Here is a 15,681-nt window from a genome sequence, read left to right as displayed (position 1 = left end):
CAGCACTTAAAACAGGGACTGGTGCACAGTCAGGGCCCATAAGTCCTGAATGAATGAGCGCATGAAAGTGTGTGCTCATGCCTGTGTGTGCCCACGTGCCAATGCCTGTGTAGACGTGTGACTGTTCCTGTGCCTAAGGGTGAACCTGGGTGTGGACGATGATGTTGCTCACACACCATCCCTCCTGTCCTTTTTCCAAACTCCTTGGGAGCCCGGGCCCAGCGCCTGGGTCCCTGTGGGGCGGAGCAGGGGGCGGCCTCCTCTGGGAAACTGGATCCCAGGACCTGCAGAACAGCAGGGAGCGGGGCGGCCCCTTTGTCCCTGGATAATCCCCATCACGCCCTCGCCCCCTCCCTCCCAGCCACCAGGGTTTAGGGTCGAGTTTGGGAGCTGGAGGGGCCTGGGGGTCCCATCTGTGTCCCCTTCCCTACCCATTTCCTTCCTCTGGGGCTTCTGCACACGAGGCCTCCCCGTGCGGAACATATGTCCCCCTTCTGGGTCCTCCCACCCGCTCCCTGTCCTGTCTGGTGGCCAGGTCTGTCTCTCATTCTTTGCCAGGGCCCTGCCTGCTCCTGCCCCTCTCCCCAGGATGTGACTCCCTCCCTCCCTCTTGGGCCACCCCAGGGCTCAGCCCCAGGTATAAAGACACCTGAGGGGCAGAAGGACAGGTGTCCTGAAAGACCCAGAGGCTGCAGAGAGGAAGAAGCCGAGGAGAGAGCATGAGCTGTTCACTGGGTGAGTGAGGGGCAGGAGCGCCAGGCCCCAGAGACACAGGACAGGGGGACCCGCAGAGCCCCTCCTCTCTCTGACTCAGGTGTCCAGCTCTCTTTGCACCTGCTGAAAACCTCCAAATCCCCCTACATCAAGGCTTCCTTCATCATTAATTCAACACATATTTATTGAATGCCTATCATGTGCTAGGTACTGTTGGAAGCATCTGGGGAGACAGCAGTGAACAAACAGACAAAAATCCATGGCCTCATGGAAATTTCATTCTGCAGACACATAATATGTGTACTAACAAGAAAATTGTAAAGCTAGTGTGACAGAAAGTGGTGCAGTGATCCAACTGTGGCTTTTTTTGTTGGTTTGTTTGGTTTTTGAAACAGGGTCTTGCTCTGTGGCCCAGGCTGGAGTGCAGTGGCAGAATCTTTGCACATTGCAGCCTTAAACTCCAGGGCTCAGGTGATCCTCCTGCCTCAGCCTCCTGAATAGCTGGGACCACAGGTGTACGACACCAGGTTATGCTAATTCTTTTTTTTTTTTGAGACGGAGTTTTTGCTCTGTTGCCCAGGCTGGTGTGCAGTGGCATGATCTCAGCTCACTGCAACCTCTGCCTCCTGGGTTCAAGTGATTCTCCTGCCTCAGACTCCCGAGTAGCTGGGATTACAGGTGCCCACCACCACGGCTGGCTAATTTTTGTATTGGTAGTAGAGACAGGGTTTCACCATGTTGGCCAGGCTGGTCTCGAACCCCTGACCTCAAGTGATCTACCTGCCTCGGCCTCCCAAAGTGCTGAGATTACAGGCATGAACCACTGCACCTGACATATTTTTTTTTTAACTTTTTCTAGAGATGGGATCTCCTGTGTTGCTCAGGCTGGTCTCGAACTTGGGGCTCAAGCGATCTTCCCAAAATATTGGGATTGCAGGTGTGAACCACTGCAAGCCCGAAGTTTGTGAAATGAAGGAATGAAATGGTCTTCCCTCTCAGGCTTCTCTGAGTTGCTACTGAACTCTGGGAACTCAGGAATGTGGCAAGGGGGATGAAGGAGGCCGCCCTGGGTTTGCCTCTCATCTCTGTTTCTCCTGGGTGGTGACCTTAGGTCATTCTCCTCCTCTCCGAGCCTCACACTGTTGGTAGAAACATAAACTGGACCAGATCTTCTTCTTCTTTTTTTTTTTTTTTTGAGACGAAGTCTCACTCTATTACCCAGGCTGGAGTGCAATGGCGAGAGCTCAGCTCACTGCAACCTCCGCCTCCTGGGTTCAAGCGATTCACCAGCCTCAGCCTCCTGAGTAGCTGGGATTACAGGCACACACTACCATGCCCAGCTAATTTTGCATTTTTAAGTAGAAATGGGGTTTCACCATGTGGGCAAGGCCAGTCTTGAACTCCTGACCTCGTGATCTGCCAGCCTCGGCCTCCCAAAGTGCTGGGATTACAGGCATAAACCACCGTGCCCGGCCTTTTTTTTTTTTTTTTTTTTTTTGAGACAGAGTCTCACTGCGTCACCAAGGCTGGAGTTCAGTGGCTTGATCTTGGCTCACTGCAACCTCCATCTCCCAGGTTCAAGCAATTCTCCTGCCTCAGCCTTCTGAGTAGCTGGGATTACAGGCACCTGCCACCACGCCTGGCTAATTTTTTTGTATTTTTAGTAGAGACAGGGTTTCACCATATTGGCCAGGCTGGTCTCGAACTCCTGACCTTGTGGTCCACCCGCCTTGGCCTCCCAAAGTGCTGGGATTATAGGCATGAGCCACTGCGCCCAGCTTGGACCAGATCTTTGAGAGGACAATTTGGCAGCATCTATTTACATTTAAAATAAGCATGCAGCCAGGTGGAGTGGCTCAAACCTGTAATCCCAGCACTCTGGGAGGCCGAGGCAGGAGGATTGCTTGAGGCCGGGAGTTGGAGACCAGTCTGGGCAACATAGCGAGACCCTGTCTCCACATAAAATTTAAAAAATTAACTGAGTGTGGTGGTGTGGATCTGTAGTCCCAGTTACTTGGGAGGCTGAGGTGGGAGGATCGCCTGCTCCCAGGAATTCGAGGCTGCAGTGAGTTATGATCACACCCCTATATTCCAGCCTGGGTGACAGAGCAAGACGCCATCTCTAAAAGAAGGAAAAAATTCACACTTGTGCTGGCTGCCTTTAAAGCATAGAGCTAGCAGGATTTCCTGTGGGATTGGGTGTGTAGAGTAAGAAAAAAAATGAAGCATCAAAGAGCACACCATGACTTTGGCCTGAACAATTGGAAGAATTGAAATGCCTTTACCTGAGACAGGGGAGCCTAGGAGAGGAGGGGCTTGGGGGGAATATTCCAGAATTAAACCCTGGATATTTTGGGTTTGAGATGCTTACTAATATTCAATTGAAAATGTCAAGTAGCTGAATCAATGAGCCTGGAGTTCAGAGGGTTCTGGGCCAGGATAATCTACCTGCAGGAGGGTTTGTCACTGACTTGGACATGCAAGATCGCTGTAGCCCACAAGGGATGGGACCTTTTCCGGAGTTGTGGAGATGAATGAATGAATCGGAGGCAGGGTCGAGGCCTTGGTGCTGACCTCCGGCTTCCTCTGCCAGCCCGCCTCTGCCTGCTGACCCTGCTGTCGCCACCCCTCAGCTCAGCAGCCTCCATCTCCCCAGCTGAGCCCATCAGTCAAGCCTATAGCCTGGCCCTCTACATGCAGAAGAACACCTCAGCGCTGCTGCGGACTTATGTGAATGACAAGGGGCATGAGCAGGGGACGAGGGGAGAGGGATGCTGCCTCCCAGGCCCTGCCATGGGTAGGGTGAGCAGAGCAAGTCCAGAAGACTCCTCCATGGCCCGAGGGGACAGGGATGCCTGTAACACTCTAGTGTTCACTAGAGCCACACTCACTTGTGCCACTCATGTCACTGGTGGCTGGGTGACCTTAGGCAAGTCATTCTTCCTCTCTTGGTCTCAGCTTTCTCATCTGCAAAATGGGATGCTGAGCGTGCCTTTGCTGACCTCCTAGGACTGTGACAGTGTTCAAAGGACACACCGAGAGAGAAGGGCTTTACACAGCCACATTTAATTCCTCACCATTCATGCTGTGTGATTACCTGGGCCCATGCCTGCTTGGCACTCTACCCCCAATGTCTGTCACCCAGGCTGGAGTGCAGTGGTGTGATCTCGGCCACTGCAACGTCCACCTCCCGGGTTCAAGTGATTCTTGTCCCTCAGCCTCCCGAGTAGCTGGGATTACAGGTGCATGTCACCACGCCTGGCTAATGTTTGTATTTTTAGTAGAGACAGGGTTTCACCATATTGGCCAGGCTGGTCTTGAACTCCTGGCCTCAACTGATCCACCTGCCTTAGCCTCCCAATGTGCTGGGATTACAGACGTGAGCCACTGTGCCTGTCCTTTACCCCCATTATCTTACTGACTCTTCAAACAGTTCTAGCAGGTGGAATTATAATCCATTTTACAGGTGAAGAAACTGAGTCTTAGAGGGGGGTGAATAATTTGCCTGAGGTCACAGAGCTAATAACTGGCAGTGCCAGGATCTGAAGCCAGGTCTGTGGAATTTCCTCCCCTTTCCATGGCCTTCTACACCATCTCAAAGTTAAAGCTGGAAGCCTGCTGGCTGAGTCTGACCCACAGCTGTTTTTTTGTTTGGCCCATACAGCTCCTGTTCAAAGTTTGAATATGAATGGAATGCCTGTCTATAGCAGGCACAGGGATACTGTTGGTCAAAACTCCCACCTGGCATCGTAGTCCTGCCTTCTTCACAACTGACACGATCTGCCTGGCCCTGGAGCCCCTGACATCTGGAGCTCTTTCTCTGGGCCAGATTTCTGGCCCCTGTGAAGTGACTGAACCTTTCGACCTAGTTTCTAGTCCCACAGCTGTCACTATTCCCTGGATAGCCTTGGGCACCCTTAGCCTCAGTTTTTCCACTTGTAAAATGGGACCAGGCAATCTGCCAGTTAGGACATCTATCAGTGTGCACTAAGGTCCCAGGGCTGGAGGCTGTGGCTTACACCTATAATCCCAGCACTTTGGAAGGCTGAGGTGGGGTGGATCACTTGAGGTAAGGAGTTCGAGACCAGCCTGGCCAACATGGTGAAACTCCATCTCTACTAAAAATACAAAAATTAGCTGGGAGTGGTGGCACATATCTGTAATCCCAGCTACTTGGGAGGCTGAGGCAGGAGAATTGCTTGAACCCGGGAGGCGGAGGTTGCAGTGAGCAGAGATCATGCCAAGGCACTCCAGCCTGGGCGACAGAGCAAGACTCCATCTCGGGAAATAAATGAAATAAAATAAAATAAAATAAAGTAAACAAACATAACTAAATGCCATAAATAAAAAAGATACCAGGCTGTAACTACATTGTCAATAATATACTTGGTTTAAAATATTACAGTTGGCTGGGTGTGGTGGCTCGTGCCTGTAATCCCAGCATTTTAGGAGGCTGAGACAGGTAGATCACCTGAGGTCAGGAGTTCGAAACCAGCCTGACCAACATAGTGAAAATACAAAATTAGCCAAGTGTGGTGGCGTGTGCCTGTAATGTGGGTTTCCAGATACTTGGGGGGTGAGGCGGGAGAATCGCTTGAACCTGGGAGGCAGAGGTTGTAGTAAGTCAAGATCGCACCATTGCATTCCAGCCTGGGCAACAAGAGCAAAACTCTGTATCAAAATAAATAAATAAATAATAAAAGAAAAGAAAACATTACAGTAAATAATGTAATCATAGTGTTCATTGATATTAATATAAATATATTATTAATGATGGCTTATCACACCCTTATTGTATATCAGATGCTGTATTGTATATTAGACTCTGTGCTAAGTGCTTTTTTTTTTTTTTTTTTTACAGTTTCACTCTGTCGCCCAGGCTAGAGTGCAGTGGTATGATCTCGGCTCACTGCAACCTCTGCCTCCTGGGTTCAAGTGATTCTCGTGCCTCAGCCTCCTGAGTAGCTGGCATAGAAGGCGTGCACTGCCACAGCTGGCTAAGTTTTGTATTTTTAGTAGAGACAGGGTTTTGGCATATTAACCAGGCTGGTCTCAAACTCCTGACCTCAAGTGATCTACCCATCTCGGCTTCCCAAAGTGCCAGGATTACAGCTGTGAGCCACCGTGCCCGGCCTGCTAAGGGCTTTATATATATTATTTCCTATAATCTTCATAACACTGCCAGGTGGGAATTTCTGAAGCTTGTGACTCCACGTTGCACAGCTAGCGTGCAGAGGATGACACACCTGAGCCTCCTAGGGCCCTTGCCCTGTGTCAGGACATCCCAGCAGCTCCCTGAGACGCAGCAAGTGACGACTCCTGGGAAGAAGCCAGTCTCAGTGGGCAGGCGTGAAGTCAGAGTCCCAGGCACCGCTCTGGTCCCCTCACTCCTGTCTGTCTCTGTCCCTCCTGCAGCTCCAGTACCAGGGCAGCCCCTTTAGTGACCCTGGCTTCTCAGCCCCTGAGCTCCAGCTCAGCAGCCTGCCTCCTGCCACCGCCTTCTTTAAGACCTGGCACGCCCTGGATGACGGGGAACGGCTGAGCCTTGCCCAGAGGGCCATTGACCCAGCACCTCCAGCTCGTGGAGGACGACCAGAGCGACCTGAACCCTGGCAGTCCCATCCTGCCGGCTCAGCTCGGGGCTGCGAGACTCAGGGCCCAAGGCCTGCTGGGCAATATGGCCGCCATCATGACGGCCCTGGGGCTGCCAATCCCCCCAGAAGAGGATACTCTAGGGCTTGCTGCCTTTGGGGCCTCGGCCTTTGAGAGGAAATGTCGAGGCTACGTGGTGACCCGGGAATATGGCCACTGGACAGACCGAGCTGTGAGAGACTTGGCTCTGCTCAAGGCTAAGTACTCAGCATAGAGGGGTAGGACTTCCTGTCAGAGGCTGCAGCACTTCCTCTTTCACAATGGCCTCTTTTCTGCCTTGCTTGTGGGCTAGAAAAGGAGATAAACCTCATCTAGCAGATGGGGCTTGGGTGCCATGTATGGGAATATTTCCTGGGAGCCAGGCCTCAATTTCCTTATTTCAGGGCCTTCCGGCCCAGGTCCTCTGGCCTGCGTTCTAGGTCTGGGTCAACCTCCATGGATGCCATTCCATGGGTTACCCATCCAGTGGTACTGGGTGTCCACTTCCTGGTTGGAAAGATGCACCTCTCCAAAGAGGCTTCACCTGTCACTCTACAGGGAGAGGACAGTTGGTCCCCTTCCTAGGCTCTCCCTGAGACCTTCCCTTTTTTGTAATTTTGGGACGGTTGGGGCTGCCTTCCTGTCTCTGTCTGCCTCATTCGCTGTATGAAGAGCCCGCCTTTCTAAGCGGATAGGCTTCCTTCTTCCTGCTGAAGTTCATTGGCTCCCCTCCTTGGCCTGTCTCTCTGGGGCTACTGTTCCACTTCCTGTCCTCAGGGGCTCCACTTCCTGATCCATGGAAGCCCAATTCTTGAAGAACTAAGGACTGCATCACATCTGTTTCCTGTTAGGACACATCCACTTCCTGTTCTGGGCTGGCAGAGGGCACCACTGGCCAGGGGCTGTCAGCCTCCTATTTATACTGCTGGGCTTCTTGGGCATGTCTGGGGGACTAGGCTGCATCCCAAGGGTCCTTTTCTCCCTAAAGCTGTCTCCCCATTTTCAACAACTATATATACAAGTAACTTTAGTTTCTTTTTTATTTTTAAACATTTTATTTACAAAAAATTAATTTATTTTCAGAAATAAAACTCTTTTAAGGTGTTGCTTGTTTTGTCTCCACAGATCTGCTGGGAGGCAGTGGAGGTGTGCAGGGACAGGGCAGAGGGGCTGAAGGAAAGGAGGACATCAAAGGGACAGGGCTGAGGCCCAAAGGGATGGGGTGTGGCAGACTGGGGATGTAGGTGGAGTGAGCCTGAGGAAGGTGGCTGAGATGCAGAGTAGCCTTCCCCCCATAGGACCAGCAGGCACGCCCCTGGCCAGGGAAGCACAGAGAGACAGCCAGATGGGGACAAGGAGAGAAGGTGTCACCTCCTTGAGATAAGGCTGAGATGTACACATGTGCTCACACAGGGCCACGAGAAGGCAGGAAGTGGGGATGGAAAAAACAGAGACACCCCAAGAGCTGGGTAAAGGGGGAGGCCAAAGGGAACTGAGGCAGGCCCAAGGAAGGAGGGAGAGCAAGAAAATGGTAGACTCAGACGGAGTTACCATGCAGACGAGGAGGGTCCAAGAGTTAAGAGAACGGGGCAGGCAAAGCAAAGAGAGGCTGGGAAAGTGGCTCACGCCTGCAATCCCAGCACTTAGGGAGGCTGAAGCGGGAGGATCGCTTGAGCCCCGGAGTTCAAGACCAGCCTGGGCAACATGGCGAAACCTCGTCTCTACAAAAAATTAAATAAAAAATTAGCCGGCTGTGGTGGCGCGTGCCTGTAGTCCCAGCTGCTGGGGAAGCTGAGGCGGAAGGATGGCTTGAGCCCAGGAGGTTGAGGCTGCAGTGCTGGGATCGCGCCACTGCACCCCAGCCTGGGCGACAGAGACCCTGCCCGTCCCCTCCCCTCTCCCCCACAAAAAGCAAAGAAGGCCGAGGCAATGGAGACAGCTAAGAGCAGACAGACAGACACCGACAGCGGCAGAGAAAGACAAAGAAGCGGAAGGAGAGACGGAACCCAGCGGGAGGAGGCGGGGCGAGCTGCCCCGCGGCGCTCAGGCCGAGCCCCCGGGCAGCAGCTGGCCCAGGTCGCCCTCGGTGCGGCTCAGCCACTCGCGGTAGAGGCCGCAAACGCGGAGCCCCAGCACCTTGGCGGGGAAGACCCCGGTGGCGGAGGCGGCTGAGGCGGTGGCGGCGGGGGGCTCGGCCCGGGGCCCGCGGTTGGCGGCGCCCAGCGCGGCCAGCAAGGCCTCCACGGCGGCGCCCAGGGCCCGGGCCTGGCGCGCCGCGTCCTCCAGGCGGCGCAGCAGGCGCGGCGCGCGCGGGTTCAGCTCGGCCTGGCGGCGACACACTGCGTCCAGCAGCGGGGGCAGCGCGGCCAGCGCCGCCGCGTCCAGCCGCAGCCGCTCGTGCACTGGCAGCCCCGCGTGGCTCGGAGCCGGGGCGCTCAGGCCGGCCACCGGCAGCCGCGGCGGCGAGAAGCTGGGCAGCCCGAAGGGGTCTCCCTGGAGCTGCACCTGCGGAGACACGGCCGGCGGGTCAGCGGGGCCCCGGAGCACGGGCAGGGGGCTGTTAACTGGGCTCTCCAACCCGCTCTCTGGGGGTGTCAGTTTCCTCATCTTGCAGATGATAATCCCTCCTAACAGAGCTGCTCTGTTTAAGGCAAAACAAAGTGGCATGCGCTTGACACCAATGCCTGTTTCTTCCTCCCTAAACTGGACCCAGACTGGGCCAGTTTAGGTCAGCACTTTGGGAGGCCAAGGTGAGATAATCACTTGAGCCCAGGGGTTCGAGACCAGCCTAGGCAACACAGCAAGACCACAGCTCTAAAAAAAAAAAAAAAAAAAAAAATAGCGAGTGTGGTGGCGCATGTCTGTAGTTCCAGCTGTTCCGGAGGCTGAGGCTGAGGTGGGAGGATTGCTTGAGCCCAGGAGGTCAAGGCTTCAATGAGCTATGATGGCACCACTGCCCTCCAGCCTGGGTGAGAGTCAGACCCTGTCTCAATAAATAAATAAATAGGACCTAATAACAGCAGCAACTTCATAAAGCAGTTATGACCATGTCAAGTGTTCAAGACAGGGCCTGGTCCCAGGAAGAGTTCAGTAAAAATGTCAGCTCTTTTATTAAAGTTACCTTACAGACCAGAGTTCAAATCCTATCTTCACCACTTACTAGCTGTGCAGTTTGGGGCAAAACCACTTCCCTTCTCTGAGCCTCAGCCTTCTCATCTGTACAATGAATGGGGAAGCTTCCTGTCCTGTCTTCATGGAAATCATATAAGATAGTCCAGGGGCCAAGGGGGCTTCATTCCCTTCCCTATCCTCCCCAACCTCTGTACCTGCATTGAGCAGGGGCTCAATGAATCAACATCATATGAATGAACAAATGAAAGATAAATGTGGGGCTGGGCACGGTGACTCACGCCTGTAATCCAGGCACTCTGGGAGGCCAAGGCAGGCAGATCAGCTGAAGTCAGGAGTTCAAGACCCACCTGGCCAACATGGTGAAACCCTATCTCTACTAAAAATACAAAAATTAGCCAGATATGGTGGTGGTGACTGTAATCCCAGCTACTCAGGAGACTGAGGCAGAAGAATCCCTTGAACCTGGGAGGCGGAGGTTGCAGTGAACTGAGATCGCACCATTGCACTCCAACCTGGGCCACAAGAGCGAAACTCCATTTCAAAAAAAAAAAAAAAATGTTGGGCTGGAGATACAGTGACTATAGTGACTTACCCTAGGAAGTGGCAGAGCTGGAATTTGAACCAAAGTTCATAGCAGTACAAAGCTAGTTTTCTTTGTTTGTTTTAAATAGATGGGGTCTCACACTGTCGCCAAGGGTGGAGAGCAATGGTTTGATCACACAGCCTCCAGGGCTCAAGCAATCCTCCACACTCAGCCTCCTGAGTAGATGGAACCACAGGCATACACCACCACGCCTGGCTATTTTTTTCTTTTCCTTTTTATTTTCTTTTCTTTTATTCTTTTCTTTTTTAAGAGATGAGGGCTCACTGTGTTACCCAGGCTGGTCTCGAACTCCCGAGCTCAAGCAATCCTCCTGCCTCAGCCTCCAAAAGCAATGGGATTACAGGCATGAGCCAACGCACCCAGCCCAAAGCTAGTTCTATTATGCCACTATTCTCCCACTATCCGCTGCCATAATTGTTACATTATTATTTTTAATGTTATTGTTACTGCCCAAGCTCACAGTTAACAAGTTGGCAGGCCTGCAGTCTGATTCAAAGCTATACCCTCCCTTCACTACACGAGGGTAATTTGGGGAAATATTTTCTTTCCTTGGGCAGGGTCCTCTGCCCAACTAAAGATGTCAGCAGATCCCTGTCTTCTGTGAAAGTGCCCTCTTGGGATAACTGTTGCTCCAGATTGGAACCTCTTCTTGGCTTCCCTGAATATCCCAGGTGGGAGAGTTCAGAGTTAATCATATTTAGCTGCCTCCTTTTACTGTTGGGGAGAGACCAAGGCCCATGGAGGGGAGGTGTCAAGGTCACGCAGAGCCTAGAACCTCGGTTTCCTGAGATACAGATCAGAGTTCTCTTCACTGCCCCAGGCTACCTGGCTACCTCTGACTTAAAGCACCAAGGTCACTTGAGCCCAGGAGTTCAAGACCAGCCTGGGCAATACAGCAAGACCCTGCCTCTACAAAATAATGAAAAAATTACCCAGGCATGATGGTGTGTGCCTGTGGCCCCACCTACTTGAGAGGCTAAGGCAGGAGGATTGCTTAAGCCCAGGAGGTTGAGGCTGCAATGAGCCATAATGGCACCACTGCACTCCAGCCTGGGCGACAGAGCGAGGCCTCCTCTCAAAAACAAAGCACTGAGGAGGGTGCCTCTAAGCTGGAGAGGACAGAGTGGCATCTGGGTCACAGACAGGGTCCTCTTCCAATTTGCTGTGTGGCCAGGGGCAAGTTGCTGTCCCTCTCAGGAGCCCTGATTTCCACAGTTGGAAAATGAGGTTGAGAGAATGGGTGATCGAGGACCTCTGTGATGTCTGCTCCCATTCCCCAGGCCCCCGGCACCCCCACCCCCATTCCCACTCACATATTCCTGGAGCAGCTGCTCAGCGTATTTGGTGAGGAGGTGCGCAAGGCTGTGTGTCTGACGGATCTTGGCCTCCAAGTGGGGAAGAAGTGAGACTGAGGAATCAGTCTGGGGGTCTTCTGGTGGGAAAGGGGGGAGGAATGAGGATGGCCAACCTCCTGCTCATTGATCACCTCTCCCACGCTGGCTCTTTGTTCCTGACCCCATCAGGGTCTGTCCCATTCCAACTGAAGGAAAATGAGGCACCAGAACTTTGTCAAGCAGGTGGTCTACCTGAAATGTATTGCCTGTCCCCAAATCACTGTTGAAATCCTATTAAAGTCAAATTCAAAGACAGTCATGCCTTGCTTAACAACATGGATACATTCTGAGAAATGCATCCTTAGGCGATTTCATCGTAGAGTACGTAAATACATCGTAGAGTGTATTTACACAAACCTAGGTGGTACAGCCTGCTACACGCCCAGGCTATGTGGTGTTAGTCAATTGTTCCTAGGCTGCAGACCTGGACAGCATGTTACAGTACAGCAGGCAACTGGAACACAGTGGTATTTGTGTATCTAAACATAGAAAAGGGCCAGGTGAGATTGCTGATGTCTGTAATCTTAGCATTTCGGGAGGCCAAGGCAGGTGGATTGTTTGAGCCCAGGAGTTTGGGACCAGCCTGGGCGATATGGTGAAACCCCATCTTTACAAAAAATACAAATATAAGCCAGGCATAGTGGCACATGCCGGTAGTCCCAGCTAATTGAGAGGCTGAGATGAGAGGATCACTTGAACCCCGGGAGGTCGAGGCTGCAGTGAGCTGTGAGTGTGCCACTGCACTCCAGCCTGGGCAACAGAGTAAGACCCTATCTCTAAATAAATAAATAAATAAAAACATAGAAAAGCTACAGTTAAAATACATATATAGGTATGTATTTTATTATATAATATATATCGGTTAGGCGTGGTGGCTCACGCCTGTAATCCCAGCACTTTGGGAGCCCGAGATGGGCAGATCACTTGAGGTCAGGAGTTTGAGACCAGCCTGGCCAACATGGTGAAACCCCGTTTCTACTAAAAATACAAAAATTAGCCAGGCATTGGGCTCAGTGGTTCACGCCTTTAATCCCACACTTTGGGAGGATGAGGCGGGCGGATCACTTGAAGTCAGGAGTTCGGGACCATCTGGTGAAACCCTGTCTCTACTAAAAATACAAAAATTAGTCAGGCATGATGGTGGGTGCCTGTAATCCCAGCTACCAGGGGGCCTGAGGCATGAGAATCGCTTGAACCTGGGAGGAGGAGGTTGCATTGAGCTGAGATCAGGTCACTGCACTCCAGCCTGGGTGACAGACCGAGACTTCGTCTCAAAAAAAAAAAAAAAAATTGTCCAGGCGCAGTGGCTCACGCCTGTAATCCTAGCACTTTGGAGGGCTGAGGCAGGTGGATCACGAGGTCAAGAGATCAATACCATCCTAGCCAACATGATGAAACCTCATCTCTACTAAAAATACAAAAAAAAAAAAATTAGCTGGACTTGGTGGCACACGCCTGTAGTCCCAGCTACTTGGGAGGCTGAGGCAGGAGAATTGCTTGAACCCAGGAGGCAGAGGTTGCAGTGAGCCAAGGCCACTGCACTCCAGCCTGGCAACAGAGAAAGACTCCATCCCAAAAGAGAAAGAGAGAGAGAGAGAGAGACGGAGTCTTGCTCTTTCGCCCAGGATGGGGTGCAGTGGTGCAATCTTGGCTCACTGCAGCCTCGACCTCCTGGGCTCAAGCGATCCTCCCGCCTGGGTCTCCTGTGTAGCTGGGACTACAGGCATGCGCCACCATGCCCGGTTAATTTTTGTATTTTTTTGTAGAGACAGGGTTTCGCCATGTTGCCCAGGCTAAAAATGCATAGAATCTTATGGGACCTCCATTGTCTGTGCGGTCCACCTGTTGACCAAATGTTGTTATGCAGTGCATGACTGTACTGCCTCCTCAGTGAAGCCTCCAGAATCACTTCTCCTTTATAAACGAACTCCTTCCTTTGACTTAAGGCCATTTGCATGAGTTCCAGGGTAGCTCTTTTAACGGCTTTTCTGTGTGTATCTGCCTTAGCCTGAGAGCCCTTTGAAGACAGGGCTTACATATTTCTACCTCAGTGACTGCTAGTGGACTTCAACATCATCGAAGTACAGAACTTCATATCAAAATGTGCCTTGAAGGCCCATTTTACAGATAGGGAGACTGACTTCCATTTCCATTTCTCTCCCTGATGCCCCATCCATGCAAGGCGCTGGCCTGGCTAGTCAGCGAATCAAGGTCCGCAAGAGCCAGTGTCTGGCGCCCCGGGAGGGACTCCATTTCCCGAAACGCACAGCGCGCGCCCGATGCGTGCTGGGGAATGTAGTCCTGACCCGGTGCCCCGCCCCCGCCCCACCCCCGAAGTTTCCCAGCACCAGTCGCGATCCTCAGCAGCCCAGACTTTCGTCTCCTGTTGTCACTCACTACTTCCTGTGACTCCAAGACTGCCTTCCCTTACTCTACCCCTTCCTTCAGCCCCCCAGCTCTGATTCTTTCCCGAGACTCAGTGGACGCAGGGGTCCTGCCCCAGCCCCGACCCCAGTCCTCCCCCTGGGTGTACTCGAACCGGTGATCTAAGCCCTGAGCCCAGGTCCCTGAAACCTCAGCCCCAGGCCTCCTCTAAACCCTAGCGCCTGCTGTTTCTCACAACTCACCCGCTCACTCGTTACCTGACACCGGAGCCCTGCCCTTCCCCGCCAAGGCCGCTCCCCTCCCGGACCCGGGGGTGGCGGAAACCCAGACCCCCAGCTCCCAATCCCTCTGACTCCTGCGCCCCTCAGCGACCCGGCGTCCGGTCCCTCAGCCCCTTACCCAGACTTCCCTCCCTCCGGCTCATGCTGGCCCCTGGCTGATCCCGGCTCCCTTCACGCCCCCCTTTCGAGGGGGGAGAAAGGGGAAAGGGCTGGGGGCGTGGCCCGGGCGCAGCCAATCAGAGCCCAGACCCCAAACATTTCATCCTACCCCCCCTTTTGAGACAGGATTCCTTGGCCCTGAGCTCAGCTCCTCGTCCGTGGGGCCTAGTGGGGGAAGGGGCCCGAGGGGGAAGGCAAGTTGTCTGCCGGGTGGACAGGACCTCGGGGCTGGGGGTGTCAGGGCCTGGGAGGCAGCCCAATGTTCTGCCGCGGGCTCAGGCTTGGACCTGAGGCAGCGGCTGCTTTGGGTGTAAAGCTGAGGAGACAGGAGAGGGAACTGCCGGACTGGCAGGACAGGAATGCGCAGGCCCTCTCTCTAGTCTGGGGCGCGGCTTGCGAGGGAGGCTACGATGGGGGCCGTCAGGCTTGGGGCATGTTTGTCCAGACATACATCTCCTGGCCTATCTTAGATGGCTTCCAATCTCATTGTCACACCCACCAGGAGGGAGACAGATACACTGCTCTCCTCTTCTTAGCAGGCCTAGTAACAATCACACCCCGCCCCCCACCCCCAGGAGAACAAGCTACAGAGACCTGGACAGGAAGTCACACCCATACGTCAACCCCATTAACCTGGTGTAGACGGAAAGGAAGGCACATAGGGATGATCCATACTTGGTTTCTGGCCCCCGCGAGGGGCTCGCGGTCTGTCGAGGAAGCCCATAGACAACAGAAGCTAATGGGGTTTGTGAATGAAGACGAGGAGGCCCGTGTGTGTGTGCGCTTGCGTGTGTCTGCGTGTGTGCGTGCATGCGGACGTGTGTGCGTGTGAGCATGCGTGTGTGCGAGTGGATTTGTGTGCGTGTGAGTGTGCAGGTGTGCGCGTGTGTGCATGTGCGCGTGCATGTGTGTGCGTGTGTTCGTGTGAGTGGGTGTGTGTATTGCCGTGAGCAATTGCTGGAATAAAAGAAGAAAGAGTTTAACTGGAGAGGGCACAGCAGATAGAATTGAGCCAGACAATTGGTAGGGCCCACAATCACATGTGTATTAACTGTAAATATTTATTGGGCATTTACCATGTGCTGGGCACTGTTCTAAGAGCCATATGCACATTAACTAACTCCTGTGTTATAGATGCGGAATAGAGAGAAGTGACTTGTCCAGGGTAACACAGTTAGGTGTGGCACAACTGGGATTTTACCTAAGCAGCTTGGCTCAAAAAAATGCTGTCTTAACCATGCTCCTAACCCCTTATACCCTTAACCTCTGGACATGGTCACGCCCAAATTCACAGACACAACAGCCACACCTTGAAACACACACACACACACAACAGCAGCACAAATTTTGACATGGTCTTATCTGCTGACAAGCCAGCCTC

At 53.0% G+C, this 15,681-nt stretch overlaps 1 protein-coding gene and 1 pseudogene across 5 annotated transcripts, besides 6 other annotated features; one reads left to right on the top strand and one right to left on the bottom strand.

Annotated features, from left to right (window-relative positions):
• Positions 620–6,680, top strand: CTF2P (cardiotrophin 2, pseudogene; annotated as a pseudogene).
• Positions 5,840–6,340: an enhancer, noted in NCBI's record as "H3K4me1 hESC enhancer chr16:30915909-30916409 (GRCh37/hg19 assembly coordinates)". NCBI's record gives its function as "activates a minimal SCP1, AML or CMV promoter by ChIP-STARR-seq in primed H9 embryonic stem cells {active_cell/tissue: H9 hESC(primed)}" and the evidence as "EXISTENCE:reporter gene assay evidence [ECO:0000049][PMID:30033119]".
• Positions 6,341–6,841: an enhancer, noted in NCBI's record as "H3K4me1 hESC enhancer chr16:30915408-30915908 (GRCh37/hg19 assembly coordinates)". NCBI's record gives its function as "activates a minimal SCP1, AML or CMV promoter by ChIP-STARR-seq in primed H9 embryonic stem cells {active_cell/tissue: H9 hESC(primed)}" and the evidence as "EXISTENCE:reporter gene assay evidence [ECO:0000049][PMID:30033119]".
• CTF1 (cardiotrophin 1) lies at positions 7,368–15,082 on the bottom strand. Of its 5 annotated transcripts, none has more exons than NR_165660.1 (3): positions 14,260–14,314; positions 11,395–11,621; positions 7,368–8,850 (listed from the first exon to the last, which is right to left on the bottom strand). NR_165660.1 is itself a non-coding variant. In XM_011545759.3 (3 exons), exons 1-3 carry the CDS (start codon positions 15,022–15,024, stop codon positions 8,389–8,391), a joined length of 672 nt encoding a protein of 223 aa, XP_011544061.1. In that variant the 5' UTR covers positions 15,025–15,082; the 3' UTR covers positions 7,368–8,388. The 5 variants fall into 5 exon arrangements, 4 of the variants coding, with proteins under 4 accessions (XP_011544061.1, XP_011544062.1, NP_001136016.1 ...); XM_011545759.3 differs by lacking the exon at positions 14,260–14,314 and adding an exon at positions 14,934–15,082 and having other exon boundaries at positions 11,395–11,513; XM_011545760.3 differs by lacking the exon at positions 14,260–14,314 and adding an exon at positions 14,976–15,082 and having other exon boundaries at positions 11,395–11,513.
• Positions 8,403–8,902: a silencer, noted in NCBI's record as "silent region_7400". NCBI's record gives its function as "represses an Ori minimal core promoter by ATAC-STARR-seq in GM12878 lymphoblastoid cells {active_cell/tissue: GM12878}" and the evidence as "EXISTENCE:reporter gene assay evidence [ECO:0000049][PMID:35858748]".
• Positions 13,728–13,777: an enhancer, noted in NCBI's record as "active region_10736". NCBI's record gives its function as "activates an Ori minimal core promoter by ATAC-STARR-seq in GM12878 lymphoblastoid cells {active_cell/tissue: GM12878}" and the evidence as "EXISTENCE:reporter gene assay evidence [ECO:0000049][PMID:35858748]".
• Positions 14,641–15,144: an enhancer, noted in NCBI's record as "H3K27ac-H3K4me1 hESC enhancer chr16:30907105-30907608 (GRCh37/hg19 assembly coordinates)". NCBI's record gives its function as "activates a minimal SCP1, AML or CMV promoter by ChIP-STARR-seq in naive H9 embryonic stem cells {active_cell/tissue: H9 hESC(naive)}" and the evidence as "EXISTENCE:reporter gene assay evidence [ECO:0000049][PMID:30033119]".
• Positions 15,145–15,650: an enhancer, noted in NCBI's record as "H3K27ac-H3K4me1 hESC enhancer chr16:30906599-30907104 (GRCh37/hg19 assembly coordinates)". NCBI's record gives its function as "activates a minimal SCP1, AML or CMV promoter by ChIP-STARR-seq in naive H9 embryonic stem cells {active_cell/tissue: H9 hESC(naive)}" and the evidence as "EXISTENCE:reporter gene assay evidence [ECO:0000049][PMID:30033119]".

This window comes from Homo sapiens, chromosome 16, assembly GCF_000001405.40.
Source record: "Homo sapiens chromosome 16, GRCh38.p14 Primary Assembly".
NCBI classification, from domain to species: Eukaryota; Metazoa; Chordata; class Mammalia; order Primates; family Hominidae; genus Homo; species Homo sapiens.
Note: the sequence above shows the minus strand (reverse complement) of the source record. Positions and strands in the feature narration are given on the sequence as shown.